This window comes from Homo sapiens, chromosome 2 (assembly GCF_000001405.40).
Source record: "Homo sapiens chromosome 2, GRCh38.p14 Primary Assembly".
In the NCBI taxonomy this organism is placed as follows: Eukaryota; Metazoa; Chordata; class Mammalia; order Primates; family Hominidae; genus Homo; species Homo sapiens.
This window is the reverse complement of record NC_000002.12, coordinates 95,056,499-95,078,148: the sequence shown is the minus strand read 5'-3', so window position 1 is coordinate 95,078,148 and position 21,650 is coordinate 95,056,499. Positions and strand designations below refer to the sequence as shown.

At 48.4% G+C, this 21,650-nt stretch overlaps 2 long non-coding RNA genes across 2 annotated transcripts, besides 1 other annotated feature; one reads left to right on the top strand and one right to left on the bottom strand.

The window, feature by feature from the left end:
• The first annotated feature begins 1,106 nt into the window (after positions 1 to 1,106).
• On the top strand, positions 1,107 to 12,974 carry LOC124907857 (uncharacterized). The gene is made up of 2 exons (XR_007087139.1): positions 1,107 to 1,303; positions 9,720 to 12,974. It is a non-coding gene; the product is annotated as an uncharacterized LOC124907857 (long non-coding RNA).
• LOC105373488 (uncharacterized) lies at positions 1,896 to 3,259 on the bottom strand. Its single transcript, XR_923076.3, has 3 exons — positions 2,988 to 3,259; positions 2,233 to 2,405; positions 1,896 to 2,035 (listed from the first exon to the last, which is right to left on the bottom strand). It is a non-coding gene; the product is annotated as an uncharacterized LOC105373488 (long non-coding RNA).
• Positions 15,073 to 15,262: an enhancer, noted in NCBI's record as "active region_16181". NCBI's record gives its function as "activates an Ori minimal core promoter by ATAC-STARR-seq in GM12878 lymphoblastoid cells {active_cell/tissue: GM12878}" and the evidence as "EXISTENCE:reporter gene assay evidence [ECO:0000049][PMID:35858748]".

Below are 21,650 nucleotides of genomic sequence, written 5' to 3'. Positions count from 1 at the left end.
CTTATGGCTAGTTCAGAGCTGAAGCTGGATTGTGTGTGCATGTGGGTCCCGAGCCATCTGTCGTGAGCGGTGCAAATTCAAGGATAACCCGGTCCGCACATGTTTTGTCTTTCCACAGTGTCAGACTTTGATTGATGTTATTTCAATCACAGGAGCCATGAGCGCCATGGAGTTCCCCAGGGGGCAGTTCTCCTTAGTACTTTCTGTTCACTTCCCAAGTCAGAGCACATATGCTCAAGCCACTCCACAAGCCAGTCAGTATTACAAGCCATGCAGAGTCATATATACTTAATCAATATATAGATGTTATATATTAAACATTCCACAGCACACAGTAACATTTAACATGAAGAGAAGGGCGGCAGGAAAAAGGTTAACAAACCAGTCCAAGGAGAGTAACAGAGAAAAAGAAATCTCCTGGTGTGGGCTGGTGCAATCTTCGGTACTTTTAGGAAGTGTCTTTGATGTGAGCAGATGTCAGGTGCTGATCACCAGTGACTGTAAGACTGGGTCTGTTAAGACGGCCACTTGGGGCTGCTGAAGTCCTGCTCTTATGGCCACAGTGTCCTCTGATGAGGACTGAGTGGAGGAGTGTGCTTGGTTATGTCCTTGTCTGGCTGGATGCAGTCTTTATTGATCAGGCGAAACATCGGGTCCCTGTTAGCAAAGTGTCCTATGATATGTAAAATGCAGTCTTTTTCTAAGATGGAGTTAGTTATGTCAAGGGTGCTGTGTACAGTGGGACACATAGTGGTTGCGGAGGCTTGTGGGGAGGGGGGAAGGGAGAGGACCCCGGCAGCTGCACAGGCCCCTGTAGGGTGGGTGGGACGCCCCGCTGTAGTCATGGGGCCCTCCGATCCCCCCCAGCTCTGCCCAGCGGGCTGTTGAGCCCTGGTAGGGTCCCTGCAGGTTGGGGGCGCCCCGCCAGGATAGCGGCCAGGAAAACCTCCCTGTTTCACCAGGCTCTCTGGGAGGCGCGGGCGGAGTGCGCTGGCGTTTGGGACGCTGGTGGCGCCTGCTGGGACCTGGGGAGCGTCCCCTGCCCCCACCCTCGGGCTGGCGGCGCGCTCAGCCGCAGGAAGGAGGCTTTGTTCCGTGTCCCCGGCAGTCTCATCCTCTTAGCTGCTGCTGGTTTGAGGAGCGTTCTGTGCGGGTCTGGACGCCCCCGCCTGAACAAGGTGCTTTCTAGAGGGGGCGAGTAAGCGAGCACCACTCGGTGTTTGCTCCGCGAACGCCACCTGCTGGCCCGAACTGGGTTGGGCACTGGAGTTTCACGAGAGTGCTGAGGCGCCGGTCCCGCCAGGTGAGCTGCACCCAGGAGGCACCCTCCTGCCAGGGGTGACCTAGTGGGCGGGGCCTGCCTGAGGGTAGCCAGGAAGGGTGTTCCGGGAGGGAGGGAGGTACTGCTGGCCGAGGGCTCAGCACTCTGCACTGATTGTGTGGTTTTTTTTTTCACTGTTTTTGTTTTTTGAGACGGTTTTTCGCTCTTGTCGCCCAGGCTGGAGTGCAATGGCGCAATCTCGGCTCACTGCAACCTCCGCCTCCCGGGTTCAAGCCTCAGCCTCCCCAGTAGTTGGGATTACAGGGGCCCGCCACCACGCCCGGCTAATTTTTGTATATTTCGTAGAGACGGGGTTTCACCATGTTGGCCAGGCTAGTCTCTAACTCCTGACCTCAGGTGATCCACCCGCCTCGGCCTCCCAAAGTGCTGGGATTACAGGCGTGAGCCACCGCTCCCGACCGATTGTGGTTATTTAAACAACCCGAAGTAGAAAAAAACCCGTGAGCTTTACTTTCAAGCATAAAGTAGGATACAGGGATTGGGTGGCACTGGAAAGCTTCAGAACGTTCTTTCTTGGATGCATGGCGCAATGAGAGACCCAACAGACCAAGGGTCAGGAAGAAAAAACAATTTACTATTCAAATAATGAGATATGGGTCCAACCTCTGCAGTGTAGTCAGTGAATGAATAATAAAAAGAGGGTTGTGTGGCCTGGGGCTGCTCTTGCTTCCTCTGGGTCCTCAGTTTCCCCATCTGTAAAACAAAGGGACAGACCAGACCGCATGATCCTTAACTGGGGCTGAGGCTACAGCCTTAGGTTTCCAGGGTGCAGATCTTGATATTCCCTGGGCACAGCGCCTGAGCACAGATTCCTCTGTGGGGAGATGGACTCACATCCCTGGGAACCCTGCTGGAAGTATCTGCCCAAGCAAGCAGCTCTGAGCCCTTACCTGAAGGTTCATCTTTGGCAATGGGATTCCTTGGAAAGAAAGCTGCCCCTTAACCCCGGGGGCTGCCGTGGGGTGCCCACATAGCAGGGCTGTAATATTTTTTTCTTATCTCTGGAGAGCAGCTCAATTCATGTCCAGTAAACACAAACCCGGAGGCCCTTTCTTGATGAACACTGCAGATATAATGAAAAACTGGCTCAGATCTTCATCTTACAAATGCAGCTGCTGCTTCAGACATGGTGCTTCCCCCAGGCTTATGGGGATTCAACTCATAGACTCATGTAAACACACATGTAACCCATGGCACCCTCAGGGCCTGGGACAGCAGTCCAGAGCGGGATCTCTCTGCCTCCTAAGGCTGGCCCTGGAGAAGTCGCTTGGGGCAGATGTGAGGGGGATCACCAAAGGGAGGGGGAATTGCCACCAGCACATCCAAGATCATTCCTAGAAGGCAAGCAGCAACCTCCACGCCAGGTTTTCTGTGGCTCTCCGGAAGCCCTTGGATGCCTGTCCATTAAAAGAGGAGTCATTCAGGCCCTTCGCAAATGCTGGTGCCACAGTGGCTTTCAGAGGAGGCCTCATGGCCCCTCCTGACGTCCCCTTGGTACTTGGCTCCCCGGCCCTCTGCAGTCTCATCTGGAACACTGTCTGCTGTCCTGCTCCTTCCAGGGGTTCTGTGGCATTGCCCTTTTCAGCCCGGCCTGAGCTCCTGGGCAGCAAGGCTTCCCCTCCGACCCCCAGCAGCCTTCACCCACCTGCCCTGGGGGCTTTGTTCCTGCCTCTGGGACCCAGGGATGTGACCATGCCTCCAGGAGCCTTCGTCACCTGCTCCCAGGGTTGGGCAGGGTGTCCCTCCCAGCAGAGCCATCCTGGCTGCCCTCAGGCTGTGGCTCCCACCAGAAGCTGACAGCCTCCAGCAAAGCCAGAAATGGCCCCCTTGGCGGTTCCACCTGGCCCTCCCTTCCGTTGACAAGAATGCGACCTGAGTTGTTGCTTGTTGTTAACCCCTGTGCAGCAGCTTCCAAAGAAACTGCTTCAAAGCACGGGGCAGGGAGGGCTCCGCAGGGTTTGGAGGCAGAGGCAGCCTGAAAACAGGTGGCAAAGCTCTGAGGGCGGGTGCAGGAACAAAGCTGTGTGCGCTCTGCCCCATGTGTTCCAGCAAAACAGGATGTCGGTTAGTGGAGAAGGAGCAAAAGTGCCTCTGAAGTATTCTTGAGAAGGTCATGGTTGCTTCTCAGAAAGGGCATTTACCACAGACCAAGCAGAATTTCCCAGCTGGGCGCCTGGGGACTGGGGATCGTGCTGTTGAGCACAGGGGCATCTGAGAGCATTCGGACACTGCTGGCCTTCACCTCACACAGCCTCAGGTGTCCGGTGTGCTCTCCTCTCCAGATGGCCATATGGCCAGGGCTTCTTGTGTCCTTGGGCTGCGCAGGAGTGAAATCTCCTTTCCTGCCCGCAGGAAGCCACGTGGGCTTCAGTGGCCGTTTTGATTTGCGCCTATGAATCAGACGCTGGCCAGATCACCCTCCATAGCCCCTGCCCACGCCTAGGGAAGGACAATGGGGTCAGCCATGCGGTTGGCCAGGTATTGAGGGCTTGTTCATGGTGTCTTTGTGGGCCTGACAGAAGCCTTTGAGGCCATTAACACCCAAACCCTTCCACTCAATGTTGGGCAGGCTGAGAACTCTTCTAAGAATCTAAGAGTCAGCCTGAAGTATCGGGTGGGGTGGGGCTTCACTAGGATGGCAGCCACGGTGCCCTCACCCTCACCCCAGGCAGTTCCATGGTCAAAAGGCTCACTCTGTCCCAGGCCCTCCTCTCTAACGTTGCCCTCCCTGTCACAGACTGGGATGACTCAAGTCCTGGACTGCCCCCGGGCCAGCTGTCACCCGAGTGGGGTGGGAGTGGGGTGACTGCCTGCCCAGCGGTCAGGGCAGCAGCCACCCAGCTGCTCATTAACTCAGAGGCAGCCACTGGCTTCAGGGAGGCCCTCTCCCCAGGACTTCCCAGCCTGTCCATGCTTGAAGAGCTCTGTTTAATATACATATATTTTAAATTTGCACATTGGTCCTCTACCCAATACGCATGTTAATAGTAGGTACACTTCTAGTAACTGTCGATGGAGATATAAGTTTGTAAAAAGCTGCTCTGAGGTTAGCGGTGTTTTTAACGTAGGCACCATGAGCACAGGTATACATTTTGGAAAACAACACTGGAGGGTATAAGGGGCTTGGACTGCTTATGAATGCACAAAGCTAGTTCCCAGAGCCCTCAGGATGGAAGCCACAGGTTTAGGGTCCCCTTGAGTTCCCAGTGAGAGCTGGACTCAGCAGTGTGCACCCAGACACACACATTCCTGCTCCACTTGGGCTAGAATTAGCATGGTGACCATGCCATCTCTGAGACCTTCCAGGAACCCTTTGATCTCAATGATGATGAGGCTGAGGCCAGAACCTTCCAGTACCTTCTCAGTCAGTGGTTTTCAAACCTGGCTGACCATAAATGAACCTTCTGAAAAAGCTCTTTAAAAATGCAGATTTCTCGCCAGATGCAGTGGCTTACCCCTGGAATCCCAGCGTTTTCAGAGGCTGAGGCAGGGAGACTGCTTAAAGCCAGGAGTTTGTGACCAGCCTGGGCAACATAGGGAGACCGTGTCTCTACAAAAAATTAAAATTAGCTGGGCATGGTGGCATGCACCTGTAGTCCCAGATACTTAGGAGGCTGAGGCAGGAGGATGCTTGAGCCCAAGAGTTCAAGGCTGCAGTGATCTGTGATTGCACCACTGCACTCCAGCCTCAGCAACAGAGAGAGAGAGAGAGATGCTGTCTCAAAAAAAAAAATGCAGATTTCAATATCCATCACCTGGCAACTGGATCAGAATTTCCAAGGCTTGGGTCCTGGGCTGTATTTTTTAAAGCTCTCAAGTCCAGGCAACACACAAAGAAAATGGCATGTCAATTCCATGGATGCCTCCAAAGGTGAAAATCCCAAAAAAATTATGGCACTTCTATAGAACATTACAGTAGTCCTGTGGTGGAAACTTCTGAAATAAGAATTATTCCCTTTTCTAGGTGAAGCTTTTCTTAGATTCCTTTGGTATCTGACAGATGAAGTTTTGAGACACCAACAGATGGAGGCCAGTTAAAAGGCTGCTCATCTCTGGTCATCTCTCTTTCAAGGTGCAATTTCTCCTGAGCCTGAATGTCCTGGACTCCAGAACTGGCGGCTCATGTGGCCCCACAGGTGGACACAGATGGGTTTGGCTGCAATCCACAGGCAGGCTCTGAGACTGGGACTCGGTGGGCACGGGGTGTTCTGGCTCTTGGTTATAGCCTTTAAAGCAGAAAGCACAGGTCTGGGCCATAGCCTTCCCAGGCTATGGGAGCTGACCTTCCTAGGAAGGGGATCACAGATCGTGGTGGAACTTGCCTGAGTTCATGGGTCCTGATTTGATCTCTCAGCCTTTCTCCCTGAGAAGGAAATATCCTCATATGATGGGGTTGGGGTGTCCCTAGGGCTGCCAGAACAATGGCCCCAGGACTGGTTGAACAATAGTCTATGACTGTAATTTTCTAGGGCATCAGTTTAAAAGAAGAAAGGCTTGTGATCGATCTGCTCCAAGAGAGACCCTAAAAACTGATAAGTCACACCCATTCTTGATAAGTCTCTTGGCAAACTAGGAGTAGAAGGGAACCTCGTTGAGATAAATGTGCTTACTAGAGTAAGCCTGGGACTGAATGGTAAAACCTTAGAAGCATTTCTTCTTTTGCTGTAGGGAACAGGGCATGCATGCCTGCTCGTTAACCACTCAATTCTGTCTTGGGAGCTGACCCAGCACAGCAAGCCAAGAGGAGGGACAGAAAGGAACAAAGCAGTCTTCATTCCAGGGGACATGATTGTCCACACAGATAATCCAAGAGGATCAATGGCAGACTCTTAGAGCAAATGCAAGTAAGGCTCAAGGTGGCCCGATACAGGTTACCCCATAAAAAATCATAAGGTGGCCAATGCCCCAGCAATGGCCAGTTAGAAAAAGTAACGTAAAAGAGATCCCAGGCATGGAGCACAAGTTACAGAGACCACAGGAAGCGGGAGGACTTCATGCTAAGTGAAATAAGCTGGACACAGACCGACAAATACCGTATGATCTCACATGTGCAAGCCGAGAAAGTTGAACTCATAGAAGCAGAAAGTAGAATGGTGGTTACTTTGAGGAGATAGTAGTCAAAGTATACGCAATTTCAGTGGGGAAGAATAAATTCAGGAGTGATCTGTTGCACAACATGGTGACAATAGCTATAATAGTGTATTGCATTCTTTAAAATTGCTAAGAGAGTAGATTTCAAATGTTCTCACTGCAGAAAAATATGTGAGGTAATGCATATATTAATTAGCTTGATTTAGCCATTCCACAATGTACACATATATCAAAACATCGTGTTGTACACCATAAATATATACAATTTTTGTTGGTTAAGTATTCTTTTTTTTTTTGAGATGGAGTCTTGCTCTGTCGCCCAGGCTGGAGTGCAGTGGCACAATGTCGGCTCACTGCAAGCTCCGCCTCCCGGGTTCATGCCATTCTCCTGCCTCAGCCTCCCAAGTAGCTGGGACTACAGGTACCCGCCACCACGCCCGGCTAATTTTTTGTATTTTTAGTAGAGATGGGGTTTCACCATGTTAGCCAGGATGGGTTAAGTATTCTTATATTTAAATATATATATAATATATATTATATATTATATTACATACAATATATTATATAATATATAATATATTACATTATATAATATATTATATAATATACTATGTTATATAATATATTATATAATATATCACATTATATAATATATTATATAAAATAATATATAATATATAATATATTATGTATTATATATAATATACATTATATATATAATATATATATAATATATATAATATAATATATTATAACATAATATATATTATATAATACATAATATATTATATAATTATATAATATATATTATATATTATAACATAATATATATTATATAATACATAATATATTAATTATATTATATATAATAATATATAATATATATTATATCATATATAATATATTATGTATTATATAATGCATAACATATATATGATATAATATATAATATAAAATATAATATATAATATGTAATATATAAATATATAATATGTAATATAATATATAATATGTAATATAATATATAATATAATATATATACATATTATATATAATATATAATATGTATATATATTATATATATTATATGTTGGTGAGAGGATAGAACGAAATAGACTCATACATTTTGGGGTCACATTTTATATATATATATATATAATATATATATAGTACTCAATGCCAGACATTCTTTTCAGTGTGTTGACTATTCTGTTCTTGCAACACCTTTAAGAAGTTGGCATCATTTCCAGAATAGGCAAAGAAATTAATGGAACAGGCCAGGCGCAGTGGCTCATGCCTGTAATCCCAGCACTTTGGGAGGCCGAGGTGGGCGGATCTCCTGTGGTCAGAAGTTCGAGACCAGCCTGGCCAACATGGTGAAACCCCGTCTCTACTAAACATACAAAAATTAGCTGGGCATGGTTGCGGGCACCTGTAATCGCAGCTACTCAGGAGGCTGAGGCAGGAGAATCTGTTGAACCCGGGGGGCAGAGGTTGCCGTGACCCGAGATCACGCCATCGCACTCCAGCCTGGGCAACAAGAGTGAAACTCCGTCTAAAAAAAAAAAAGAAAAAAAAGAAAGAAATTAATGGAACAGGATAGAGAGTTGGAATGTTTACTATACATGCATGGGAATTTAGAAGATCTTTCAGATTATCTGTTGGAGCAATTGTTTATCCAATTTGGAAATAAAGTCAGACTCCTACCCCACAATACTGACTAATTAACTTCATGGAAAAGTAAAAGCAATGATAACCAAATTCCACTATTAATACCACTATGTTACTAATTGTTAATGCGTATGCCTGTTAGTAATTGGTATGCTAGTTAACAGCAGTCATTTGTGAGTGTGCTAAGTGCTGTGTGGGCCAGGCTCTGGGCCCGGCGCTCCCCTGCATCATCTCATTTGATCCTCACAACAGCCCCGAGAAGTGGACACAGGCAGGTCAGGTCCCCGCCCAGTGTTGTCAGCTAGTGAGTGGAGGAGCCTAGGATGTGAACGCAAACTATGGGGTGTTCTGGAGCTTGGTTATAGCCCTTAAAGCAGAAAGCACAGGTCTGGGCCATAGCCTTGCTTGACTTCTTCCTCCAGTACCTGAAGTGGGTATCTGGTCACTAAACAATAAGCAAACACAGCCTCCAAAGACGGATCCGACCAGGAAACTGCAGACCCACATGACGCAGCAACCTGAGCTGACCTTCCCAGGAAGGGGATCACAGATCGTGGTGGAACTTGCCTGGGTTCATGGGTCCTGATTTGATCTCTCTGCCTTTCTCTCGGAGAAGAAAAAATCTTTTTCCTTGAACAAAATAACATGCGTATAAAGTATTTATTGTAATTTGAGTAAAAAAGCTAAACAAATATGCTTGTGGTCTAGAAATAGGGAAAGTTGGCTAATCTCAAAAAATCTGAAGCCATGAAGTCACGATTGACAATTTGACATCCACGCTAAAAACTTTCCGCAACAAATTACATCCTCAATGTTAAAATATGAGGGACAGATTGGAAGGAAAGGACAACCCAGTAAAAAAGTAGGCAAAGGATATAAATAGATGATTCTCATAAGAAGAAACACAAATAACCAATATGTGTATGAAAAAGGTGCAGAAACTCACCAGCAATTAGAAAAATGTGAGTTCAAATGACTTTTTTTTTTACAAAAATTAAAAATATTGATAATGCGTATTGGTGAGAGGATAGAACGAAATAGACTCATACATTTTGGGGTCACATTTAACATTATCTGTCAAAATTTAAAATGCACATATATCACCTACTACTGAGAAGTTTCACTTCTTGGCATCTACCCCGAGAAACGCTCCCAGAAGGGATTCATGATAGTCCTGGTACTGTTTTGAAACAGTGGTAACAATTAAATGACTGTTGACAAAAGTCCTCATCAACAATGTATAATATGCATCTATCCAGACGTGCAGAGTTCTGTAGGACATATGATCATGCAGAGAAAAGTGTCTGAAAACAAGCTTGTGGGACACAAACACGCCCCCGCCCATAAGCAAATAAAATATCAGTATGCGTGCCTCTCCAGACCCTTCCAATGGATCCACCTAGAGATCACTTCACTTTACAGATAGGAGCTGATGAAATCCTCCAGCCTAGGGCATCAGGTTTGGACAGCTGTGCACCAAACAGATGACCACAGCCACCTCTGGGGAGGTTCTGGCAGGGGAGTGATGGGAGAAGAGGAATTTAACTTTATCTGTTGTGGTTTGTTTGTTTGTTTATTTATTTATTTATTTATTTATTTATTTATTTATTTTTAGGAGAAAATGTGGTCATGGCCTCCTCGTTTCCCCTCAGAGCTGCATGTGAGCCCTCCTTTCCATCCCTTCATGGATCCATTTCTTCATTGTTATGGGCTGTATTTTGTTCCCTCGAATTCACATGTTGAAGTCCCAATCCCCAGAGCTGCAGAATGTTACTGTATTAGGAGACAAAGCCGTTAAAGAAGAAATTAAGTCAAAATGAGGCCGTTAGGGTGGGCCCTAGTCCAATATGACTGGTGACCTTATAAGAAGAAATCTGGACATGCAAAGCACCGAGAGCTACAAGTGGACAGAGGGCCAATCATGTGACAAGGCAGCAAGGGGACAGCCATCTGCAAGCCAAGGAGAGCAGCTTCAGCTCAAAACCAATCCTTGGAAGACTGAAATGTTTTCTTTAAGATTGGGAACAAAGCAGCCAGGTGCAGTGGCTCACGCCTGTAATCCCAGCACTTTGGGAGGCTGAGGCGGGCGGATCACCTGAGGTTGGGAGTTCGAGACCAGCCTGACCAACATGGAAAAACCCTGCCTCTACTAAAAATACAAAATTATCCTGGTGTGGTGCCGCATGCCTGTAATCCCAGCTACTTGGGAGGCTGAGGCAGGAGAATGGCATGAACGCGGGAGGCGGAGTTTAGAGTGAGCCAAGATCACTCCATTGCACTTCAGCCTGGGCAACAAGAGCGAAACTCTGTCTCCAAAAAAAAAAAAAAAAGGGAGCAAAGCAAGGATGCCTGCTTTGGCCACTTCTATTTACATAGTACTGAGTCTTAGCCAGAGCAACTAGGCAAGAAAAAGAAATAAAAGGCATCCAAATTGAAAAGGAAGAAGTAAATTATCTCTGTTCGAAGAAGATATGATCTCATATGCAGAAAACCTGAAGATTCCACACATGCACAAACCTGTTAAAATAAATGAATTCAGCGAAGTAGCAGGGTACCAAGTAAATAAACCCAGATCCATTGCATGTCTGTATACTAATAATCTAATAATGAACAATCTGAAAAAGAAATTATGAAAAAATAATACTATTTACAACAGTATTACAAAGAAGTTTAGGAATTAACTTGACTAAGGAGAAGAAAGATTTGCACAAGGAAAACTACCAAACGTTGCTGAAAGAATTTTTTTTTTTTGAGACACCCCAGAGTCTTGCTCTGTCACTCAGGCTGGAGTGTAGTAGCATGATCTCGGCTCACTGCAACCTCCATCTACCAGGTTCAAGTGATTCTCTTGCCTCGGCCTCCCTAGTAGCTGGAATTACAGGTGTGCACCACTACAGCCAGCTAGTTTCTTGTATTTTAGTAGAGACTGGGTTTCACCATGTTGCTCAGGCTGGTCTCGAACTCCTAAGCTCAGGCAATCCACCCGCCTTGGCCTCCCAAAGTGCTGGAATTACAGGTGTGAGCCGCTGCGCCCAGCCAGGTTGTTTCTTTTCACGTTGCTGAGTTTCAGGAGTTCTCTGTATATTCTGTATATGAATCTCTTATCAGATACATGATTTGCAAATATGTTCTCCCATTCTGCTGGTTGTGTTTTGGTCTGTTCATGTTGCCTTTTGGTGTACAAAACTTTAAATTTTTTTTTTTTTTTTGAGACTGAGTCTCGCTCTGTCTCCCAGGCTGGAGTGCAGTGGCGCGATCTGGGCTCACCGCAAGCTCCGCCTCCCAGGTTCACGCCATTCTCCTGCCTCAGCCTCCCCAGCAGCTGGGACTGCAGGCACACGCTGCCATGCTCAGCTAATTTTTTTGTATTTATTTTTTAGTAGAGACGGGGTTTCACCATGTTAGCCAGGATGGTCTCGATCTCCTAACCTTGTGATCCAACCACCTCAGCCTCCCAAAGTGCTGGGATTACAGGCGTGACCCACCGCGCCTGGCCTTTTAAATTTTTATGAAGTCCAATTTGCCCACTTTTTCTTTTGTTGCCTGTGCTTTTGGTATCATATTCAAGCAGTCATTGTCGAACCCAACGTTGTGAGCTCACACTGTAAACAAGTATTCTTTTTGTTGCCTACGTAGTGCCGCTTTTTTCACATTTGGTGCTTTTGTGTTCAATGGCCTCAAGCACAGTGCTGAAGTGCTGTCGAACGCTTGAGTGTGCTTCCATGTGCCTTGCAGAGAAAATACATGTGTTAGACCAGCTTTGTTCAGGCATGAGTTATAGCGCTGTTGGCTATTATTTCCATGTTAATGAATCAATGACATATGTTAAATAAGGGTGTCTCTAAACAGAAATTCACATAAAACAAGGTTACATATTTCTCAGCTGATAAAAATATCGTGACCATAGGCTCATAAGAACCTAATCCTATATTTATCGTATGAGCAGCAGTTCAGTATTCTCTAATTCAGTGTTTGTGTTGAATTTATAGAACATAACTACTGTGGTTAACAAGAATTGCGTCTGTCTATCTATCTATCATCGTCTAATAGAAAATATGTAAAAGATTTGAATGCACACTTCACAAAAGAAGCTATACAAATAGCCAATAATCACATGAAAAATTGTCCAACATCATTAATTGTTGGGGAAACGCATATTAAAACCTCAAAGGGCTACCATTATGTACCCATAAGAATGGCTAAAATTTTAAAAGATTGATAATAGAAGATGTGGAGAAACTGGAACTCTCATACATTTTTGATGGGAATGGAAAATGGTACAACCATTTCAGAAACCATTTTGATGGTTTCCTAAAAAACCTAAGATTCACTGACAATTTGACTTGGCCACTCCAGCTAGATACGCCCACACAAAGACTTTTATGTGAATGTTCCTAGCAGCTTTAGTCATAATAACTAAAACTGAACCAAGCCAAATGTCCATTGGCAGATGGATGAATAAATAAAGACATATTCATACAATGGGTTACTGGGGAAAAACAGCAATAAGAAGAAATGAACTGCTGAAGCACTCAACAACATGAATGAATGTCAGGCACATCATGCTGAACAAAAGAATGCAGGCACCGTGTACACTGTGTATGAGTATACCGTGTAAGATTTTATTTATACAAAATGCTAGAAATGACAAATCTAATCCATAGTGAAGAAAGTAGATTAGTGGTTGCGTGGGACTGAGGGGTGAGGGTGGTGGGGATTGACTGGGAAAGGGCACAGGAACTGTCTTATGTGACGGAAATGTTCTTTCTTTTGATTGTCGTGGTTGTTACATGCATGCATGTATGTGCCACACTTATCAAAATGTATGTGGAAAATAGTTGTCTTTTATTAAATGCAAATTGTGCCTCAATAAGGTTGTTTTAATTAACTTATTTATGATTAGTTTTGAGACAGAGTCTCGCTCTGTCGCCCAGGCTGGAGTGCAGTGATGTGATCTTGGCTCACTGCAACCTCCTGGGCTCAAGCGATTCTCCTGCCTCCGTCTCCCGAGTAGTTGGGACTACAGGCATGTGCAGCACCATGCCAGGCAAATTTTTGTATTTTTAGTAGAGATGAGGTTTCACCATGTTGGCCAGGCTGGTCTCAAACTCCTGGCCTCAGGTGACCCACGCGCCTTGGCCTCCCAAAGTGCTGGGATTATAGGCGTGAGCCACTGTGCCCAGCCCCAATAAGGTTGTTTTTCAAATATAAGCTATTAAACAAAGATTTCCAGAAATCCCAGGAATGCCTTTAATATAAAACAGAGAGCTCAAAAGAAACAAAAAGTGAGTATAAAGGAGAAGAAAACATCCATACGATTATTCATACCCTAGGAGGGGAAAAAAGAAAAGATAACAGATCCATGAAGCAAAGAAGGATGACTTTGAAAAGGAAAATCAGAGCACAGAAGAAAGCTCTTAGAAATAAGTTTTTAAAAATTAACAATAAAAATTAAAAACTCAGTAGAATAGGATGACAAATTTGAGGAACTTCCCAGAAAGTAGAGCAAAATGACAGAGATAGAAGACAGTAAAATAGCTGGGCACGGTGGCTCACGCCTGTAATCCCAGCACTTTGGGAGGCCGAGGCGGGTGGATCACGAGGTCAAGAGTTCAAGACCAGCCTGACCAACATGATGAAACCCCGTCTCTACTAAAAATACAAAAATTAGCTGGGCGTGGTGATGTGTGCCTGTAATCTCAGCTACTCAGAAGGCTGAGGCAGGAGAATCACTTGAATCAGGGAGGCAGAGGTTGCAGTGAGCCAAGATCGCGCTACTGCACTGCAGCCTGGGCGACAGACAGAGACTCCGTCTCAGAAAAAAAAAAAAAAAGAAGAAGAAGACAGTAAAATAAAGAAGCTTAGCGAGCCAGTTCAGAAAATTGGATACACAAATAATAGAAAGCCCTAAACAGGACAGAAAAATAGCAGAGGAAATCATGGAAGAAATAGTAACTCTGGAAGCTTGAATGCAATAGAACTATGCCTCTCACATTTTGAACGAAAATTATTTAACCCCAGTTTTATTCTCAGCTTAACTATTAATCAAGGGTGAAGGTAGAATAAAACATTGTCCAACAGTAGCAGTCTAAAACTCAGCCATCTCAACTCCCATTAAACAGTTTCCTAGGAGGTCACCAGAGCATGTGTCCCCGCATGAGTGAGCCTAAAGGGGCAAGAGCTAGCTGTGCACACAGCAGGAAAGGGGAGAGGGGTACAGGGGCAAGGAGGGGCATCCAGGAAGATGACGCAGGGACCGCGGGCCCCAGGCATTGAGGGCACCTAGTGAGAGTGGGAAGGCTCTGGGAGAGACCCCCCAGGAGGAGGAAGAATACCTGATGTGTCTGATGATCTTGAGGGAGACTTAAAAAATTGTCACGGCCCAGGAGTTTGGACCAGCCTGGGCAACATAGCGAGATCTTGTCTCTACAAAGAAAAAAATCAGCCAAGCTTGTGGGTGCACATCTGTAGTCCCAGCTACTCAGGAGGCTGAGGTGGGAGGACGGCTTGACCCTGGGACACTGAGGCTGCAGTGAGCTGTGATCGTGCCACTGCACTCCAGCTTGGACAACAGAGCGAGACTGTCTCAAAAAAAAAAAAAAAATTGTCACCAGATTTGAGTTGAATTAATAAGTAAATAGAAGAAAATAAGCCCCTTCTCTTGAAAAACAAAAACAAAAAAACAAAAAACCCCCAAAAAACCCCACAAAACCCCAAACCGCAGGCAATTATTAGCATCATGGGAAACAAAAGAAAGAAGTAGTTCTGGTGCACTGAATGGCTTGTCTCTGAATAGCATGACATAGCTTAATACAGCACTACAAACGATGAATTCTGACCTGCACAAGATTACCACGCAGCCACACAGGAGGGTGGAGGGAGAGGAACTGAATGCAGGAGGTGGGGATGGAGAAGGACAAGAGCTCAATTCTCATCATCCAAAGTGAGGAAGTGAGGAGTCTGTAAATCTACTTTTTTTTTTCCTTTTTGTGGAGAACTGGGCCTGGCTATGTTGCCCAGGCAAGTCTCCTGTGCTTAAACAATTCTCCTGTCTCTGCCTACCTAAGCGCTGGGATTACAGGTGTGAACCACCACGCCCAGCAAGAAAACCTAAATCTAAAAACCCAGGAAGCTTCAACACAGACTTGTTATTTACACACAGAGCAAATGCCAACACGATTAGCATGAGAGGTGGAAGCAGCTGCCTCTCTGCCTCTAGGGGAAGAGGAGAGTGCAGGAGGGCAGGAGTGCAGGGAGTATTGGGAGCTTTTATGAACTATTTGAGCCTTCAAACCACGTTCACATCTATGCTTGGTAGAAATAAAAATGTAAGGATTACTAACACAAATGAAGAGAGCACATTGGAGGCAGAGGAATGGGCAGAGCTGTGGGCTGACTCTTTCAAGGAGTCGGGCTGGGCAGGGGACAAGAGGAGCGGGATTGGTGGTTTTCTTGGGTCTGGTGTGATTTGGGTGTTGTGAGATTTTCGCATTTTCATTTTTGCTTATGTATTCATCTGGTTTTGGGTGTGTTGGTGGTGCTGTTGTCTTGAAGGATGCTGAGATTGGACTGGATGCCGTGGGGGCGACCCCGAAGGGAGCAGAACAGCCACTGAAGATGGGGGAGACAGCTGTGTTGGAAGGAGGCCCGAGTCTGGCAGTGGGGGTGGATGTGACTGGGAGGATGGAGGTGGGTTTGTAGAGAGGGAGGGATGGGCAGGAAGAAGGGGTCCAGGAAGGGTCCCTTCCTCTAATAGGGAAGCTTCTTTTTTTTTTTTAACTAAAAAATTTCTATTTTTAGAAGTAGGAGGTGAAGTTACTCCTTGTGCCAAAGGAGTGACCAATAGGGGCTTGAGGATTGAGTGAGTTCCACAGGATGCTTCAGTCGCTGACTGAGGCCCTGCTTGGGTAGGAGGCAAGGGTGCACCGATTCTGTGAAGACACAGACTGTTCTCAGCACCCCGGGTAGGAGGGCAGGAAGGGAGAGGGCTGTGTCTCCGTGGCTGGGGAGGAAGGAAGGCTCCCTGGCACCCACTGTCTGGGCAGGTGGCTGGACCACGGCTTTGCACCTCACAAGGGTCTGTGTGTGGATGTGGAGGCCCCACGGAGCCAAGGCCGCACACCAGAACCACAGCTGTCAGTGTGCTGGTGCCCAAGGAAGGGGCGCTTTCATCCATGCCTGTCCCTTGCACCTCTCTCTGTCCCCAACCACTCGCTGCAGACCTCAGATGGCCTCTGCAGCCTGTTCTCTCTCACAGTTGTCTGGGAATTAACTCGACTGGAGCTTGCTTGAGTCTGCTGGGGCTTGCTTACAGCTCCTCAAACACTGGGTGGAGGGGCTGCTCCTCTGGGTTTGTCCTCTCACCCCTGCGGGAAGCACATGCTCAGCAAGACAGGCTTCAGAGCAGGAAGGAGTGAACAGACCTGAACAGCCAGCCTCTTCCCAAACCTGGACCCTATGTCAGGACCAGGCCACTGTTGGGGCCAGGGGACCTGCCTGTCTGGACTGGGAAATGCTTGCATTCTATTCCCCTGAAACAATACAGAAAGCAAAACAGGATCAGGCAACTGTCTTCTTTACTAAAGTCTCATCTGAGTCCTGTTAGGTCAAAAGATAGCACCATTCCTGTTTGGGGTGTAAAGTAAACACTTTTTTTTCTTTTTTGTTTGGAGACAGGATCTTGCTCTGTTGCCCAGGCTGGAGTGCAGTGGCCCAATCATAGCTCACTGCAGTCTCAACCTTCTGGCCTCAGGAGATCCTCCCACCTCAGCCTCCTGAATAGCTGGAAACACAGATGCACACCACCATGCTCAGATAATTAATTTTTTTTTTGTAGAAGCAGGGTCTCCCTGTGTTGCCCAGGCTGGTCTCAAACTCCTAACCTCAAGCGAAGCTCCCACCAAAGTACTGGGATTACAGGCAAGAGCCACTGCACCCCACCAGTAAGTTTTACTGTAAAACATTAGTTTTTTCTTTCCAAATCCCCAAATACTCCCCATTCTGGTGCCCCATGCACCAGAGGTTCCCTGGCCAAAGTGCAGGCATCGTTGGGAACAATAGCCCTTTTAAGCCTCAGAGGGAAGCCGGGACAGCGGAGAGCGTGCATCCAGCGCAGTCTGCGTACAGGGCTAGGGTGGGAAGAGTGCTCAAGGGAAGACAGACTCACAGGGAGACAGGGAACACTGAGGATGCAGAAGTCTACGTGATGCCTCTGCCTGGCTTCATCTGTGTGTGGCATTAGCCAGGCACGATTCAGCCTCAGAGAACCTGCTTCCTCATCTGCATGGTGGAAATGATCGTAGCATCTCCCTAGGAGGATTGTCTTGAGGTGACAGTGGAGAACACGTGCGGAGCTCTTAGTTCCACTTATATGGAGAATGCACACCGGCCGCTGTGGGGCCTCATGTTTGATACAGGAGGTAACGACATTCAGCAGATGGAGCGAGTGGGATGGGGCACGAGACTGACCATGTGGCCAGCTTTCTCTGTCCCTCCTTAACCTCTTTCTACCCACCTTCCTGCCAAGTGAGGCCAGAAACCCTGCCCCTTCCATTCCAGCAGGGACAGTGCCAGTGTCCGAGAGTGTACTCTGTGGGGACAGCCACCAGAGAACTGGGTATCTTTAGCCTTCGCCTGTCAGCACCAGAGCCAGAAAACTGCCCACCTCAGAAAGTAGGGTGAAGGGCAGGGCAGGCCCTATCCCAGCATCTGGCCACCCAGGCTGGCTTGGCTGGGCACACCATCTCGGTGCACATTCCTGTCATTGTTTGTCCAAGATGGGGCACGGGCCTAGATTGGAGGCCCCAGCCCCGATTGTAGAAGTGAGTAGTCCATGAAAATATGCTGTCCTTCCACCTGCACTTCCCCTGCGGGCCACCGTCTCCTGGCTTGGTGGCAGGGATGAACCATGGGTGGGGCCCTCAGGGTCAATTCTCTTCCTCTTCCCTCGGCCAACAGCTGTCCTGGGGGGCTGCGTGGGGCCTCTCAGTCCTCCTAGCCTGTTGAGGGTGGCTATGGGTGAGCATCAGCTGAGACCCAGCCATGGTGTCTGGGAGGCAGTGGAGTATCGGGAGTGGGGTCTGGAGGGTGGGGGCTTGCAGGCTTAAGGACAGCAGGTGGGGTGTGGGGAGCCAGGATGCCCAGAAGCAGGAGTGGGACAGGTGTAGCGCCCTGGAGGAGGGAGTATGTGAGCTGGGCAGGGTTTAAGCCAGTGGATTACATCCTCATCACCACCATCGTGCCACCTAACACCCATGGTACAACACACCTGGACTGTGCTGGGTGATGGGTGCATGATGTGAGGGGCAGCCGTGCCCCTCATTCCAGCCACCGGTGGAGGTCTGTCCTGCATGATCCACAGGTGTCACCAGCTCTCACCCTAGAAAGTGGAGGCCACGGGGCCAGACTCCCAGTGGGCAATAGACCTGGAAGTTGCCTTCAGTGAGCCTCCCCAGCCCCTTTTTGCCCCCTTGCCCTGTCTTTATCGTGGGTTACTCCTTGCTCTCACCAGCCCCCGTCTCTCCCTCTGCCTCAGTGTGGGAAGCAGTGAGGTACCATAGGAGAGGTGGGCAGCAGGGGCTCACAGGGGAGGGAGCCTGGGAGGCGGGGCCGAGGCCACCCTGGCGCTGACTTGTCTGGTGCCCTGGGCCAGACTCCCACCCTCCTGGGACCTGGGCTCTTCATCTGTAAATTCCTGGGCTTCTCCCGGTGCTGCTGTGCCGGTGGCTGAGGCTTCTCTGGCTTGGCTGCTCATGCCCTGGGCGAGGGAGAGAAGAGGCCCGCCCAGTGACTGTGACCCTCTCAGGCCCTCTGGGAGCTCCTCCCTCAGTGTCAGGGGCTGTGGCAGGAATGGCCTCTCCCCAAAGCACTGGAGCTTGGTTTCCTAAGTGGGACTGTTTTAAACTATGTCATGGCTGATTAAACGTTCAGTTCTATGGGAAAAAGCAAAAGTACCAGCCCAAGTTCATGACAGAATGCCAACAACATGGTTAATGAATAAGCATAATGTGAATAGCCATCGTCTGCCCAGGCTGGAAAGTTCAGGATCATTCTAGACCTTCTTTTTCTTCATTCCCACAATGATAACAGCGGCCGGTACTTCCTGAGATGTCCTTGGTCCCAGGGACTTATCTGAACCGAGTCCTCAAATCCTCCCAGCTGCCTGTGAGGCAGAATTAATATTCCCATTCTGCAGACAGGAAGCTGAGGCTGAGAGGGACCACACACTTGGGCTGGCTCAGGGATCCATGCCCTCGGCCACTCCCTTTGGCTGCTCTCAGCTCACCAAGATCTGGCCACATCTCTCCTATCTCCCTGGTCCAGCCTGCCCGCTCACACCCACAGCATCTCTCGGCTGGATGGCTGCCACTGCCCAAGAGATACCCCCACAGGGCTTGCCCCTTGGGTGAAAGCCAAGCTCAGCTCTGCCTCCAGGACCAGCCCAGGCCCTCGTAACCTCCTAAGACACCCCCTCACCCCCCAGCCTTCGACACACACCTGGCCCAGATCACCCTTGCTCTGCCCAGGGAAGCCCTTTCCGACTTCTTTGTATGGCAAAGTCTCCCTCATCTCAGACATCCCTCCGCAGCAGGTTGGGCTCCTGGCTAGGTTTTCCTGACACTCCTCAAGTGCCATTTGGAGTTTTCAGTATTGGTAAAGTCAGCATTGTGAGTATGAAGGACATCTTAGCATGTGCCCCCTGCTCCCAGAGAGACAAGGACCCTGTCACAGTGAGACATGAAGCATGACGGTTAGCCTCAGGGGCCCGGGAGCCACTCTGCTGGAATCAGGATCCATGCCTACTTGCTGTGTGACCTTGGGTAAGTCACTTAACCTCTCTGTGCCTCAGAGTCCTCATCTAAATTGTATCTACCACATAAGGTCGTCACAGGATTAAGTGAAGAAGTAAAGCACTTCAAGCAGCACCTGGCACCCAGCGGCGCTGGGAAGTCATCTCACGCCGTATGTCATGGGTGCCTGCCTCCAGCTGAAGGAAGTCCTGGCAGCCGAGCACCCCGTGTGAATCCAACCTCTCTGGTACCCTCTAGAGAGCCTGGCAGTGTGATGATCTCGTTACCTGTGAAGGAAGAGAGCAGCCACAGCTAGGAACCCCCGTGTCTGCTCCAGCGCCCCAGCTCTTAGAAGCTGCTGTCGCCGGGTATGATGCAGACAGAACAAAGGCCACTGAATAACGCGGAGTAGGAAAAATCACTTCAAATCTGTTTTTTCAAATCGCGTTATTTTAAATGCCCTGGGCGGATGCCCACGTGTGCAGGGACACTCAGCCTGTCCAGAGGCGCTTTGTCTCTTTGAAAGGCCTCTTTGTAACCCCACACCGGCCCCAGTTGATACCCAGAACAACAGGCCCTTGTGTGGGCCCCGAAGGCAGGCTCGCTCCAGCCCACGGCTGGCAGCGCAAACCCTTTGCTGTCTCTTTAAGGTCAGCGTAAGGCAGCCTTCAATCCTCCATTTGGGCTGCTTTGCAAAAATAGTCCTACAACCTGCGGGAGTGGGGGTACGAGATGCTTTTTAGAATTCGGCTCTCAAATGTTGAAGAAGCCCGGCTCATATAAGCTGTGTCTTCTCCAGAAGGGAAGATCGATGGGGCTCTATCATGTGCAGAATGGGGGGCAGGAGCTTAGCTCCCTGGGACACCTCCCAGGCCACCCTGCCCTGCACAAGGAAGGCCACCAGGAGGATACTCCCAGGATCGCCCCCTGAAGCAAGGGGGCCACAGCCTGGGAAGTCACAGGCCATAGCCTCCAAAATGTCCTGGCTGGATTTGGCTTATAGTTACCTTTTGCTGATTGCTCTCTGGTGATGTGCCCCCTCCCCACACACGTGTCCATAATGAATCATAAGCCCCATGGAGCTGCTCGAGGGCCATGGAAAGCAAGAAGGAATGCAGTGACCAAATCACTGTCCAGTGAAATCTACACCAGAGCGCTCCCAGACACTGTACCAAACCCTGGCTGCACCCCCATCAGAAACTCCCTTTCACCTGGCATCTGTCCACCACAAGGTCTCATCTCACTGTCATTTCCTGAGAGGCCAGAGGACAGACATGCATGAGCACAGGTCAGCTGGAGCGGCCCTGGGGCGCTGGGCCTGCTCACTTATGCGGCCGTGTTTATTGAGCACTGGCCCCGTGTCCCTCCTGGCGCCTGACCGGGCACTGCACGTTCCTGGGTCCATGGACAGCACACAAGCCACAGGGACAATCAGGGGAGGGGGAAGCCCTTAGCAGTGACCCACGAGGCCCAGTTGGTCCAAACCCCTCTGTTCTCTTCTCTGCTGGGCCCACAACTTGGTGGGGACAAAAGTGGGGTGACTGACTATGGTCTGGCCTATTCTGCAAGCTTTGGCTCTGAGTCACAGCATACACAATGGCCTCTTCCTAATCCTTTCTCAGGCTTGTGGATAGATTTAGCTCCTTATTCTGTGAGCTTAAAAATACCCAGTTCCTCACCTTTGCAAAGTATCAGCTGGACTTTGGCTTTGGCTCTATGGGGGCTGCAAAGTGGACCCAGCAGCTACCTGAGCTGGC